This window comes from Homo sapiens, chromosome 13 (assembly GCF_000001405.40).
Source record: "Homo sapiens chromosome 13, GRCh38.p14 Primary Assembly".
Classification (NCBI taxonomy): domain Eukaryota; kingdom Metazoa; phylum Chordata; class Mammalia; order Primates; family Hominidae; genus Homo; species Homo sapiens.
Window position 1 is genome coordinate 22,828,594 of NC_000013.11, and position 15,217 is coordinate 22,843,810.

Consider the following 15,217-nt stretch of genomic DNA (forward strand, 5'->3'; position numbering starts at 1 on the left):
AGCTGTACATGAATATTCATAGCATCACAATTTACAATAGCCAAAGGCGGAAAAAACTAAGTGTCTATTAACAGATAAATGGCGAAATGAACTGCGGAACATATATTCAGTAAAATATTCAGTCATGAGGAATGAAGTACTGATACGTGCTACAACTTTCATTAACACTGAAAACATTACAATAAGTAAAAGACGATAGACATAAAAGGTCACATATTGTGTAATTCCTTTTATATGGCATATCCAGAATAAGCAAATACTAGAGACTGAAAGCAGATTTGTGGTTGCCAGGGATGGGGAAAGGGGAAAATGGGTAGTGGTTACTTAATGGGTGAGGGGGTGTTCTTCCGGGATGATAAAACAGCTTGTGACTAGAGAGATGTATTGGTATATAACACTGAATTCATCAAATACCACTAAACTGTATATTCTACAATGATTAATTGCTTATTATGTGAATTTCACCTCAATGAAAGCAAATTTTGCAAATTTGGGGTACTATATGTTTATACTAAGTGAGTCAACATAATACGATGTCTGAGAGCTTGGGCTCTGGAATCCACCATACCAATGCTCAACTCCTGTGTGCCTTTTGAAAGATTACCTCTCTTATCCTCGCTTTCTTGATTTATTAAAATAATATTTCTACCCTCAAGATTGTCTTAAGAGTTAGAAGAGATAATACAGATAAAGAGATACACACACGTCCTGATATGTAGCAAGGATTTATTAAATGTCTGTTTCTCTTTTTACCTCTCTCTAGGGAGACCATGAAGATAAGAGGAGTGTGGACACTGACCCTGGTCTCCTGGTGAAAGTCCTGTGGAGGCAATCCAGCTCTGCTCTAAGTATTAGGAGTGCATTAGCTTCTTTTTGTTTAGTGTTCTTCTTGGACCAATCTTGTCTTTATGTGGAAATACTAAACACAAAGCAGTAAGATTCCATGTTGTACCTAAAGGAAAATGCACAAATTTGTCCACTGTACCTACTTTGGTTCTCCAGCCTTAGGAAAAATGTACTCTCCATGTAGTTAGACTAGAACACCACACTACGTTCTTTTCAGCCTCTCTCTCTCGCTCTCTCTCCTCTCTCCATAAGGCTGTGTGTTGAAGATAAAAGAATTTAGAAATTAAGGTCCACACTCTCTGCAGACCTCCTTATATTATTTGTTCCTCTGGTCCTCAGAAAGACAACAGTGGTTCCTCAGGTCCCCAGGAGAGACCTAGTTTAGTTTATCCATCGCCAACTAAATCTTCTTTATAGAATATACAGTTGTCTCTCAGCATCCATGGAGGATTGGTCTGAGGACCCCTCTAGTATACCAAAATCCACAGATGCTCAAATCTCTGATATAAAATAGTATATTTGCATATAACCTATGCACATTCTCTCCTCATACTTTAAATCATCTCTAGATTACTTATAACACTTCATACAGTAAAGATGATATGTAAATAGTCTTTATACTATGTTTTCATAGAATCATGACAAGAAAAAACGTTGTACTGTACAGGTTCACTACAGACCCAACCATCCATTTCTTAAAAATATTTTCAATTCTTGGTTGGTTGAATCCACAGATTCAGAATCCATGAATACAGAAACTCAACTATACTTGGAACGAATGTGGTGATATTAAAAGTCTGTTAAGACTTTTTTTTTTTTTTTTTAAATGCAGTCTTGCTTTCTCACCCAGGGTGGAGCGCAATGGTGTGAGCTCAGCTCACTGCAACCTCCACCTCCTAGGTTCAAGCAATTCTCCTACCTCAGCTTCTCAACTAGCTAGGATTGCAGGCCTGCACCGTGTCCAGAATTTGTTCCTTCTGGTGGGTTCATGGTCTGGCTGACTTCAAGAATGAAGCCGCAGACCTTCAGGTGAGTGTTACAGCTCTTAAAGGTGGCGAGGGCCCAAAAAATGAGCAGCAGTAAGATTAATTGTGAAGAGTAAAAAAAACAAAGCTCCATGAAAGAGAACCGGTACCGGTTGCTGCCGCTGGCTGGGGCGGTCAACTTTTATTGCCTTATTTGTCCCTGCCCATGTCCTGCTGATTGGTCCATTTTACAGAGTGCTGATTGGTCCATTTTACAAACGTCCAGCTAGCCACAGAGCACTGATTGGTGCATTTTACAAACCTCTAGCTAGCCACAGAGCAACCATTGGTGTGTTTTTACAGAGCACTGATTGATTGGTGCATTTTACAAACCACGTGGAAGAAAAGTTCTTCAAGTCCTCACCCGACACAGAAGTCCAGCTGGCTTCACCTCTCACCACCATGCCTAGCTAATTTTTGTATGTTTAGTAGAGACAGGCTTTCCCCATGTTGGCCAGGCTGGTCTCAAACTCCTGACCTCAGGTGATCTGCCTGCCTCAGCCTCCCACAGTGCTGGGATTACAGGCATGAGCCACCGCACTGGCCAACTTTTCTTGAAAATCTCTCATTTTTTGAAACTCCATCTAGTTCTCAGAGACTCAGATCTCTCTGATCTTATTATTCCAGCACTTCAACATGTGTGGTTTCTTTTTTATGGTGGGGGAGTGGCGAAGTCTCGCTCTTATCCCCCAGGCTGGAGTGCAATGGCTCGATCTCCGCTCACAGCAACCTCCACCTCCAGGGTTCAAGCAATTCTCTTGCCTCAACCTCCAGAGTAGCTGGGATTACAGGCACCTGCCACCACGCCCGGCTAATTTTTGTATATTTAGTAGAGACGGGGTTTCACCATGTTGGCCAGGCTGGTCTCCATCTCCTGACCTCAGGTGATCCGCCTGCCTTGGCCTCCCAAAGTGCTGGGATTACAGGCGTGAGCCACCGCGCCCGGCCGTGGTTTCTGAGGTTTCCACGACAGAGGAAGAGTTGCCAGAGTTGCAATATTCTTAACTGCTTCATGCCAGAAGAGACATATATCCTTCTCTTCAGAGTCCATTGACAATAACTAAGCACACCGCCTGTCCTAAAAGCAGGGGAATCCAGGGAGTGTAGAGGAGAACATGGAGTATTTGGTAGCCCTTGTCTTTGCCAAACTCCTTATCCTCATTCAGCAAAATTAGGATTAAAGCTGAATTTGATGGTGAGGTCTTCATGGATGCAATAGTCCACTAATTTTGTACCTATTTAATTGTCCTCCATCTGAGTGGACTGAAGGAGACTCACATACTAGGCTACTGGCAATTTGGCCAGCACAACAGGTGCACCAGGTTCCTCCTAAGGTGGAAAAATTTGGGTCAAAATTAATGATAAATGAAAAAAAAAGAGATAATACCTGAATGCAAAGTGTGGAATATATGGACACTGTTGAAGGGAATATCCAGCACTATATCAGTGCCTTGAGAGTTCCTCAGAGCAAGAGAATAATGTTTTCTCTCAGCTTAAATTCCAGATGTTCAGAGGGGGACGTAATACTTTTGCTAACGTTGCACCAATTCTGAAATCTTACTAAGTAGAAAGGCAACCAGCATCCCTAAGTGCCATCTCTCCAGGGGACACATTTCTCCCATGTTGTGCTAAAGAAAAAGGAACAATTCCTGATGAGTAAGCAGGACTCTTTTTTTTTCTTCCAATGCAAAACATTTTAATAGGTAGTCAAATATACAGTTATTAGAATTATGTAAATATCACGTATAAAAATTGGTATAACACATTAGATGATTCTATGAAATAAAAACACAAATCACACATTGACAATAACCCCTGCAGTCCAAATACACCCCCACAATACGACAAATTACAAACACATTTAAAAAAAAAACCCTACAGACATTTATACATTTAACAAAGTAACTGTGACTAGACTAAATACATTCATTCATCAAGTACAATAAATTTAGCATTGCTGCTTATAGTCACTAATAACACAATTTTAGGTGCAATTTCACATGCTTTCATAAATCTTCCAGTACAGTTCCCATAGTAAAGTGTCTTTGTGCACACCATTTCCATTTATCTGCAGGTGCATCATACATCATACTTAAAACTATTTCACTTCACCAACTGTTAATATATATTTTAAGTGGAGAGCAGGTAAAAAATTTAAACCTCAATGATGACAAAATTTAAAATTAAAGAAAAGTCTTGAAAGCCTACAGTGATTTGTTTACTTGCATAAGTAATATTTTCACTTAGTACAGGCTATTAAAATAAGTAATGAGAATTTAAATATTAACTCAAAAAAAGATAGAGGCTCCAAACTTTTCTAAGAAATTAATGCATTTTCAATATAATCAGTCTGTAAGTCAAAAGTAATTCCATATTCATTGCCAAATTTAAAATACCAGTGATGTGAAGACTGAGGCCTAAAACTGTTGTGCTAAATTGTAAAATACAGTAAAGAAGATGCAGCTCATTTGCTTGGGAATATGTAATGGAATGTTTTCCACAGTAATGTTTATGTTAAACATTACTTTAAATGGGCAGTCTAAATAAACATACCTTTGCCAGCAAGGAAAGTGAAAAATTAAGGCTTTTCTATGCTATCTGTAACTACTACCCAAACTTAAATAGAGGTTACAATACTGCAAAATATTACTTCTAACTTCAACTATTGTTGGCTGCTTCATTTCAACCTTATTATCTTATTTACATGCCTATTTTTCTATATCTCTATTTCAATTAAGTCCCCAATCCCACCCTATCCAAAGAGAATGCTGAAAATGGTTAGGCCCTTACCTGTTTGGTTCACAGTTGTAATACTGGGGGCTAAAAATGCTTAACACATGGCATAAATCCAAGAAATACCTTTGAATGAACTAGAAGCCTGGCCTCCAAAGGCAACCCCACTTGTTTTTCCAAAGCATTAACAGATAATTGTTACCTCTTTAGATAACCAGATTGACAATTATTAAAAAGGAATCGGTGTTTCCTAGGCTATGAAAACATCAAAAACATGTAATAGAAAGGGTAACTTAGGGTACAAACGTATCAAATCAAAGCTAAAGGCACTGGAGAAAGAAGGTAAGCATTGTAAACAATTTTTAAAGCAAATCAAGTTTTAAAGTATAAAACGCCAAGCTACTAAGAGAAAATGTATTAAAATGATGACAATGTTTTACTATAGTGGACACAATTCCTGTAATTTCGCAAACAGAATTCTTTCGTTGTTCTATCGTTTTCTTTCATCCTACATCTTCTATAATATTCCAACCCCTAAAAACAAATGCATTTTCAGCTGTGTGAAACAAAAAAATGCAACTGAAGTATCTATGGAAATTCCTTTCTCTTAAATGATGTTATAAATTTGATACATAAACTTGATAGACATAAGAACATCATCTTGGAAATCATAAAATACTAAATTATGCTCAATCGAAATACAAAGGTTCTTATTCAGTTGAACAGTTTAGAGCCCCATAAGAACAAATTGTAGTGTAAAGAGGAAAAGTAAGTACAATCTTTCCAGACACACAAAACAAAGAATAATGAATACTGAGTTGAAATACCACAAGCTCCACATTAGAGCCATTTAATATACACATTTTCATAACTGTTTCTTGAAAAACTATTTAGGTAAAATATTTAGAATTTATCATTTATTTTAATTTATTTGAATCTATGCAATGTCCATCCATATTAAAATATCAATTAAATACTTTATTATAAAACTATTATACAATTTAAATTTTTATTAGAAAAAGGTATTATTCACATCCACAATTTCTTAAAGTCCTTTTTAAATACGTGTATTCCATAAGAAACACACTAAAATCATTACTTATGTTTCATAGGGGAAAAAACTGTAAGGATCCTATTAACCCAAACTATATCCGTATTATGCTTATTTCTTAAGCATTTACATGTTCAAATATGTTTGGTGAGTAGTGATCATTCATCCCCACAGTGGTAAATTTCAGCACAATATTAAGTGACTGAGAGAGACTAAAATAGTCACATGTAGATTACATAAACAGATACTTATTCTGTTATACCTAAGCTTACTTATAAAGCAACATAAAATGAGCATTGGATAACAATGATAACAAATGTAAACAAACAGAATTAAATATTAATCCCTTCCCTGAAAAACAACAGATAAAAGGGCTTCTTGCTTTATTAAAAATAAAACATGATCTATTGTATCAAAAAGGTAAGACACTGATTTTACAAAATTATATTTCCAAATACAGATAAAAAAAAGTTGAACAGTTAATTCAGATTTTATTGAGCTAAAATGTGCAAAAAATCTGATAATACTTAAGTTTATTTAATTCATTGTGCATAGGTTGATAATATCCCATCCAAAAAAAGCCTCAGTATCTTGTTAAGACTCAAAATAGTATTTAATTATCTGAGCTTAAGATTTATTGAACCACTATCCAAATAACAACAAAAGTCCATATTGTAAAAGAAAGAAGTGAAACTAAAAATTTTCTGATTGTTAATTATGACTTGAAATTCATTCATTCATAAAACTATAGCCAATATTCATTTGAAAAGTGAAGAAAAATTGGAAGTCCCTATGATAAATACATCAATTCTAAATAAAAAATTAAAATCAAATTTTTCTATTACAAAATGCACATGATCGGTTTTTTTTTTTGGATGGAGTCTCGCTCTGTCGCCCAGGCTGGAGTGCAGTGGCGCGATTTCAGCTCACTACAAGCTCCGCCTCCCGGGTCCACGTGATTCTCCTGCCTCAGCCTCCTGAGTAGCTGGGACTACAGGCACCTGCCACCGCGCCCGGCCTATTTTTCGTATTTTTAGTAGAGATGGGCTTTCACTGTGTTAGCCAGGATGGTCTCGATCTCCTGACCTCGTGATCTGCCTGCCTCGGCCTCCCAAAGTGCTGGGATTACAGGCGTGAGCCACCACACCCGGCCAAAATGCACATGATCTTTTAAATTATTCAAGTTTAATAGATTTACTAAGGATAGAGTTCATAGAGCATTTATTTGGTTCTTCTGTTTGGACTCAGGTATTTGCAAAACACCCCCAGAGAAGGTTGAGAAGGTAAAATAAAGATAAAATTGTGATAATTTTCTCCACACCACAACAAAGGTACTCAGATTTAAAAATTCAATTTGTAACTCTAGAAGAAAAATAGGAGAAACAATTTACATCCCCAAAATAATTTTCCAGAAATATGACAAAACGTATAACTCCCTAGAAATGTTATTAGTGAATCAAAGTGCAAGTAATGACAACATTCACGTCATATGTATTTGAAGACTCAAATGTTTTAAATGTTTTCAATGACAAATAACTGGTTGATTTTTTTTTAAGGTGGTGGGTGGGAAACAAAGATAATACAAATCTAATTTTTCCAGGAACTGTAGTACTGTCCCTGTCCCCATGAAATTAAGTTATAATTTCACTGTTCAAAATAATATAAAACTATTTTGAACAAGAGTGAAATAGAAGCATGAATTTAGATACGCACCAAACCCTATATGACGGACTAATTTACACATAGTATTTTTGATAACAACCTAATTAGATATTATCTTTCATTGTTTACTATAATTCCGAGAAACTGCTTTTAACAACATACATTTACACTACCACTTAACTAAATGGGGACATATAAATACATAAATTTTTAAAGAAAACAATTCAAGTTATTTAGAGGAGAAATAAAACTTCAATTATTTACTTTTTAAAGCTGCATTTAGATAAAAAGTTATATGGTTTATGATACTTTTCACAATGTTATAAATTTATATTCCAATTTTCTCATAAATGAAAGATTGTAAAGAAAAATATTTTGTTCCTTGAAAATAACCTCTCTCTTCCCCTAACCCCAGTAAGGACAATTAGTGTGCCCTTAATTTCGAGACTTTGTTGTTGTCATCCACATCAACTGTCTTTTTCATGAAGTATAATATTTTGAGAGAGAGATGTAAAAATTAAAGAGAAAACCTGCTTTTGGAATGCAGCAATTCTAAATCATTTCACTAAGAAGCACCCTTTGATATGCTGGTCCGAACTTTTAATATAAAACCTAAACACCACTTATTTCTGAAGTAGAATTTTCACCAGTTTTAGTAACTTCATACATAGCAATACTAAGAACAACAACCTGTGCTTTCGAGATCTTGGTAGGTGTTCTAATAATGGAATATTTTAGATATGGCTCATTGTCAAGGCTGGGTGGACAGAGTTGGACATGAATTGGCTACAGAAAGCTAACTAAACACTTAGTGACTGAATAATGATTTGCATTTTGCTTGAGCCAAAAAAGATGTTTAAGCCATGTACCACCACATTCCCTGCTTAACATTCCTAAGTTTCTTTATTCTTCATAGCTTTCTAATGAACAAATAATTAGTTTTCCTGAGAAAGAGTATAAAAAAGTTAACCTTTCTTCCAAAAGTATAAAGACAAATAAAATGTTGACTCACAATACAAATTTTTTACATAGCATTAAAGGTGCAGAGATATTGACTGCTCCTCTTCATTATGATTGGCCCACCCCTTAAAAAGACTGCAACAGAGGATTCAATTGTCTAAAATACTTCGAAGTACAGAAATTAAATGCTTTAGCCCATAAATATATCCCTCATCTATTGTGCTGCTAGGGAACACATGAGCAAAATCTATCATTCGCACTCCTACTTCAGCAATCTCTTGGCAACCAGTGGGAAGATGGTAGAAAACTTTTTCCAGTTGGGAAAGTACATTTCCATTTAAATGTTCTGTGACATGCTTTTCCACTCATTGTCTTGCTCCAGATTTTCAACTTTCATTGAAGTCTGACTGTGATGGTTTTTGTATACATTTTCCTGTGACGAGCATACATCTTGGACAAGTTTTTGCCCACTTAAGCCTCTATTTTTCCATTCACTGTGGAACTTAATACATGAAAGTTATTATTGTACTCTAGTACCTCTGTGTCTGACAGTTGTCCTTTGGACAAAAACTTTTCTGCCAAAGTTCTGTCATTCAATTTTGTAGTGGTTGGCTGAGATGAACTTTCATAAACCAATAGTAATGAACTTGCATAAAAGTTAAGCTGCTTCTGGTTTTCAAACCACTGCAGAATTTTCTCAATCTTCTGAATACTGGCAGCAACAGCATCTTTTCTTAAGCAGTACCCATTATGAAAAAATCCGGAGACTCCATCCTTTGTAGTTCCTTTTGTTAAGCTTCTTCCATAATGCTGGTTTTGTATATCATAGCTATCGGAATGAACATGGTAAACCCTCATGCCAAGCACCAAGAAACCCAATCTCTTCCATTAATGGGTACTTGCTGAATCTTCTCAGATGAGGCAAAAGGATCATAGCTTTTTTGCCCTATCTTTATATTCATTATACAGGGCTTATTAAATTTATGTGTCACATCTTCCAGTTTTAGGTATAAATCGTTTGGTGCAGTGGGAGGTGACCAGATGCCATATTTTGGCAAATATTTTCGTAGCTCTAGAAGAACACCATCAGAACAGTCAGCAGCATAAACCGTATGCTCTCTTGGGCCCCTTGGAGGTGGTTGTAACTGTTTCAAAGCTGTGCCATCTGAGTGTTGCAGTATACCCACTTTGTCCTTCCCGTTCATGTGTCCGGCCACCTGATACGAGAGGGGCACTTAGCCGTTGAGGAGGCGGAGTCTGCCGCCCGCCGGCTGCCCGGTGCCCTCAGGGATGGCCTCGATCGCCGGTGGGGCCCGCATTTCCGGGGGGCTGGCGCCTCGACCCGGAGGGGTGATGGTGGCTCTTTTGCCATAACCGAGAGCAGAAGCGGTAGCGGTAGCGAGAGCAGGAAAAAAATAGGGCGAGGGAGGGGGCGCCGGAGAACCCGAGGGTCGCTCAGGCTCGGGCGCGAGGAGGCCCGGGGGTTCCCGCGGCTGGTGCCCGCTGAGGCCCCGAGAGGGGGCCCATGACAACCAGGGGAGGGGGGGCGTCTGCCCAACTCTTGGCGGAGCGCGGCTCCCGGCTCCGGCTCCTGTGCAGCCGCAGGCCCCGGCGCTGCCCAGTAGACAGACTAAGCAGGACTCTCTTAATGTCCCTTAAGTCTTTTGGTTCTTGTTTTACAGGACATATCAATTAGATTGCAATTAAGGAGGGATCTCGGAGAGTTTCTCCCTTCTGGCAGCTATGATGTACAGTCATATCAGGCAGGCAGACTAATCATTGTGTCATTAATCTGATGGCCAAATGCTTAGGTTCCTGAGTATAATGGAAAACAAATAGTGGCAGCTATCTCCTAGTGTAATGTATAAAAGAACTTAAACCTTTGTCTTTATGGATGGACAGATGTCACACAAGATTAAAACAAAAAATTACTTCAGATGCTGATAAAGCATTGGGCTCACATCCCAACTGAAGTTAACTCTGCAGCGAGACAATGGGGGGTTATGGGAAGCTTTGTGGCACACTAAAATGTGTATGAATGACCACTACACATTTGACCTTAGTATAGAGGACCCGACAATTTGGGGTACAAAGTATGTATTTTTATTGTTCCCAGGCAATTAGCACTCAACAACAACAGCATGTGTAGTGGATTAAAAGACACTGGGCAACAAGATGAAAGAGAGCTCTTTGTGAAATAGGTATGGGTATAGGCATGGTAAGACAAGCAAAGTTTTCCTTCAGTATAAAGGACATTCAAAAGAAAAAGATCAATAGCAAAAATAGACAAGTTGGAAGAAATTATGTTCAAACAGTAAAGAACAGAATCTATTGATGCTGCTATGATGTGAATGCTTGTCCCCTCAGAAACTCCTATTGAAACTTGATCCCCAATGTGGCAATATTGAGAGAAGGGGCCTTTAGGAGATGATTGAGTCATGAAGGCTCTACCTTCATGAGTGAATTCATTCATTCATAGATTAATAGGTTAGGCCAGGTGTGATGACACATGGTGGATGGCTTCCAGCACTCTGGGAGGCAAGGCAGGAGGATCACTTGAAGCTAGGAGTTCGAGACCAGCCTGGGCAACAAAGCTAGACCCCACCTCTACAAAAACATACAAAAATAAGCCAGGTCTGGTGGTATGTACCTGTAGTCCCAGCTACTGGTGTGGCTGAAACAGGAATATTGCTTGAGCCCAGGAGTTCAAGACTGCAGTAAGCTATGATTGCACCACTGCACTCCAAGCTGGGTGACAGAGTAAGACCCCATCTCTAAACAAACAAGCACAGGTTAATAGGCTACTGGATTAATGGACTGTCATGGGAGAGGGACTGGTGGCTTTATAAGAAGAGGAAGAGAAACTTGAGCTAGCAGATTAGCACACTCAGCCACTTCACTATGTGATGCCTGCCTTGGGACTCTGCAGAGAGTTCCCAGCAGCAGGAAAGCTCTCACCACATGCAGCCACTCAACCTTGAACTTCTGGGGACTCCAGAACTGTAAGAAATAAATTCGTTCGCTTTATAAATTACCCAGCCTCAGATTTCAGTTATAGCAACATAAAACAGACTAAGACAGATGCCCTAGTAAATCAGGTCATAGAAACCCAATCTACCATATTAGAAAATGACAAAACACAAAAAACTCATTATCGGAAAAGAGCACACAAGCTAGTCCAACAGAGCCTTCAAATCATGTTTCTTGAAATGGAGGTCAAATGAGTCATAGGCGGTGACCTACCGTTTTAGTTGCAGCAGAAGCTCTAGAAGTACACTTCTGAAAAATACGTGATCTCCTGAACTTATGAAAATTTTCTTGAGGCAAAGGCAATTTATATCAATGTTCCCTAAATGCTCTTATTCCAAGAATAAACCAAGACGTGACATATTGTGTAAAGAATATAATAAACAACACATGTATACTCCTTGTGGAATCAAGGAGAGCTTTTTTACATATGTAACACCAGATGGGAACCTTGTATCTGTGCAAACATACTGACAGAGGCTAAGAGATTAGCTTTGTACCAGTTAGCCTGAAATCCAGAAGTAACAGAATCATAAGACACTGGTAACAATCCCAGCTCATAATAATATCTAGTATATGGGTAAAGTCCAAATCTACTAACATGATTTTAATAATGCTATAATGCTCACCCAATTATTTTCTAACAATACGAAAGTATAGCATAGGGCTGGGCGCGGTGGCTCACGCCTGTAATCCCAGCACTTTGGGAGGCCGAGGCAGGCTGATCACGAGGTCAGGAGTTCGAGACTATCCTGGCTAACACGGTGAAACCACGTCTCTACTAAAAAAATACAAAAAATTAGCCGCGCGTGGTGGCACGCGCCTGTAGTCCCAGCTACTCGGGAGGCTGAGGCAGGAGAATGGCATAAACCCAGGAGGTGGAGCTTGCAGTGAGCCGAGATCACGCCACTGCACTCCAGCCTGGGCGACAGAGCAAGACTCCATCTCAGATAAATAAATAAATATATAATAGCACTGTGGCTCATACCTGTAATCTCAGCACTTTGGGAGGCTGAGGCTGGTGGATCACAACGTCAGGAGTTCGAAACCAGCCTGGCCAACAAGGTGAAACCCATCTCTACTAAAAATATAAAAATTAGCTGGGCGTGGTGGCACTCACCTGTAGTCCCAGCTACTCGGGAGGCTGAGGCAGAAGAATTGCTTGAACCCAGGAGGCGGAGGTAGCAGTGAGCTGAGATCATGCCGCTGCACTCCAGCCAGGGCGACACAGCAAGACTCTGTCTCAAAAAAAAAATAATAATAACATAATAATACTCCAATATGGTGTAAAATTGGGATTATTGGTAAAATTTGGCTATCTTATATAAATGCATCAAATGATAGTACTAATGTTGAGTGAATATACTGAGAAATTGAGTTAAAACTTCCTTGGGTTGTAATATCAATAGAGACACTAATTGGCCTGAGGAAGAATGAGATTTAATTAATCAATTAATCACTATAATAGGTGTTTCTGCAGAGTTTTCTCATAAAGTAAGATAGCCATAGATAAGTAAAAATCAATAATTAAGTTTATATAACAGTAAAAAGAAATATGTTGTGGAACATTGAATTTAACAGATTATTTCTTTAAGTCTGCCCCCCTTCCTCACTAACTTCTGCAAATGATGCATGTATTTGCATTACCATTCCTGTTTTACCCTATAAATAAATGGTACACTACATGTAGATTTAATAGTGTTATAAATAATTTCTTTGTAAGGTGAAACTGACTAAGGGTCAGAGGTAAACTGCAAGGAATAAAATAACTCAGCAGGTCTGTTTTATCATTTTTGCTTCTTTCTGTAGCCATTGTAATGCCTCCTGGCTAAGTGCTGAGAACCAAGTCCCGGCATGTGCACATGGTAACTGGTTAATGATATTATTCTGCATGCCCAAGGCAGTGGTCAGGATGCATCAGACTGTCAGCATTATGTAAGGTAAACCTGAAGGTTCATGATGTGATCCTGATGCCTGGTTTGGGACACTATTGCTGGTCATGTAACCATGTGACCAGTATGGATCACAAGGATCAAGTGAGCTTCCCAAAGTTGAGACATCTTGGACATGACTTTTCTGTTTGCAGCTGGAACCCTCATATGCTGGTCCATGCAAGCCTCATATGTTGAGTCGCGTAATTTCTCCAGTGAATCACCAAATTTGTGAGTAGTTATATGACTTCCCTAAACAATCAAAGGATCTGCATTAAACCTATAAAGTCTTTCACTAAATTCCCTCAACATTTCTGACCCAGCACCATAGCTGTGGATGTTTCAGTGGTATTTACATATAACCCAAAGTACATTCCTAAAGAAAGTAGCCATTTTTATCTTTTTCAGCAAGATATAGTTGAATCCATCTAATATCACCATTGCCACTACAAGTAAGCTATCATTAAAAATCTTTGCTATTTTAGCCAAAAATAAAATAAAATAAAATAGGCGAGATGAAATATTTTTTCAAATAGTTATTTGCCATTTTTATTCACATTTTGGTTAAATTGTATAATTTTTGTTCTTTATCTTAGCAGTACTTTTTTATATATTTAAACAAATTCAATATTTTGCCTGTCATCTTAGTTGCAAATAATTTCCTAGCTTCCTAGATCAGAAATTTTGCTACAACAAATACAATCCTTTACTCCAATAATATATTTTACTTGGTTATTACTAACATATAAAAAGTATTGTCTTTATGTACTTATTTAGAAATTATATTAAAGTTTTCGATGGATTCAAGTGGATTCTCACTAGATTCTAACAGTTGTTTCCCAGGCAGTACTCAGTAAAGTTTAAAATGATCATTTCTCCCTTATTCATGTCCAGGTTAAATAATAATTATTCCTAACTTTAAAAGTGTCTGCTAGTATTTCTTATTTAAGAATGTTATCAGGTTTAAAATTGAGATGTTATAAAGAATATTTAGGTCAGGCACGGTGGCTCATGCCTGTAATCCCAGCACTTTGGGATGTCGAGGCGGGCAGATCACGAGGTCAGAAGTTCAAGACCAGCCTGGCCAACATGGTGAACCCCGTCTCTACTAAAAATACAAAAATTAGCCAGGCATGGTGACGGGAGCCTGTAATCCCAAAAAAAGAATATATGATAAGTTTGATTTAATGACTTCAGAAGATATTTACATAGTGATGCACTATTTCTCATTTGACAGTTGGTGTGAAATCCCGAAAGTCTGTTCTCACTCTGCACAGTAAGTAGTGCAGGACTGTAAGAATAATCCATGCTGAAATCATGCAAACCAATCTTTTTTTTTTTTTTTTTTTTTTTTGAGAGGGAGTCTTGCTCTGTCGCCCAGGCCGGAGTGCAGTGAGGCAATCTCGGCTCACTGCAAGCTCCGCCTGCCGGGTTCATGCCATTCTCTTGCCTCAACCTCCCGAGTATCTGGGACTACTGGCGCACACCACCAGGCCCGGCTAATTTTTTTGTATTTTTAGTAGAGACTGGGTTTCATCGTGTTAGCCAGGATGGTCTTGATCTCCTGACCTCGTGATCCACCAGCCTCCGCCTCCCAAAGTGCTGGGATTACAGGCGTGAGCCACCACGCCCGGCCGCAAACCAATCTTATTAACTAATGGGAAGATTATGATTATTCTAGGGCCTTAAAACTTTTGTGAATATATTGAAAAGAATCTGTTGCTGTCAGCTACTAACACACATTACTAAAGCTAAGTTTATTTAGTACACTATAATTTAAGAATTGGAAATGTTGATGATTGAAGTGTTTCATTGCTTTATTTAAAACTTCCAAAGAAAAGTTTGAATGGTGTTTGCCTTCCTCTCCTCCTCATATAACTTTTGCTATGGAGTGCTCATCTTTTCTATGCCTGGGTTTATTGTCACGCTCCACGCTCCTTTCTAAGTCTGGATCAGATGCTCACATTTAATCCTTTGCATCT

At 38.3% G+C, this 15,217-nt stretch overlaps 1 pseudogene; it reads right to left on the bottom strand.

The window, feature by feature from the left end:
• IPMKP1 (inositol polyphosphate multikinase pseudogene 1) lies at positions 3,551-9,907 on the bottom strand (annotated as a pseudogene).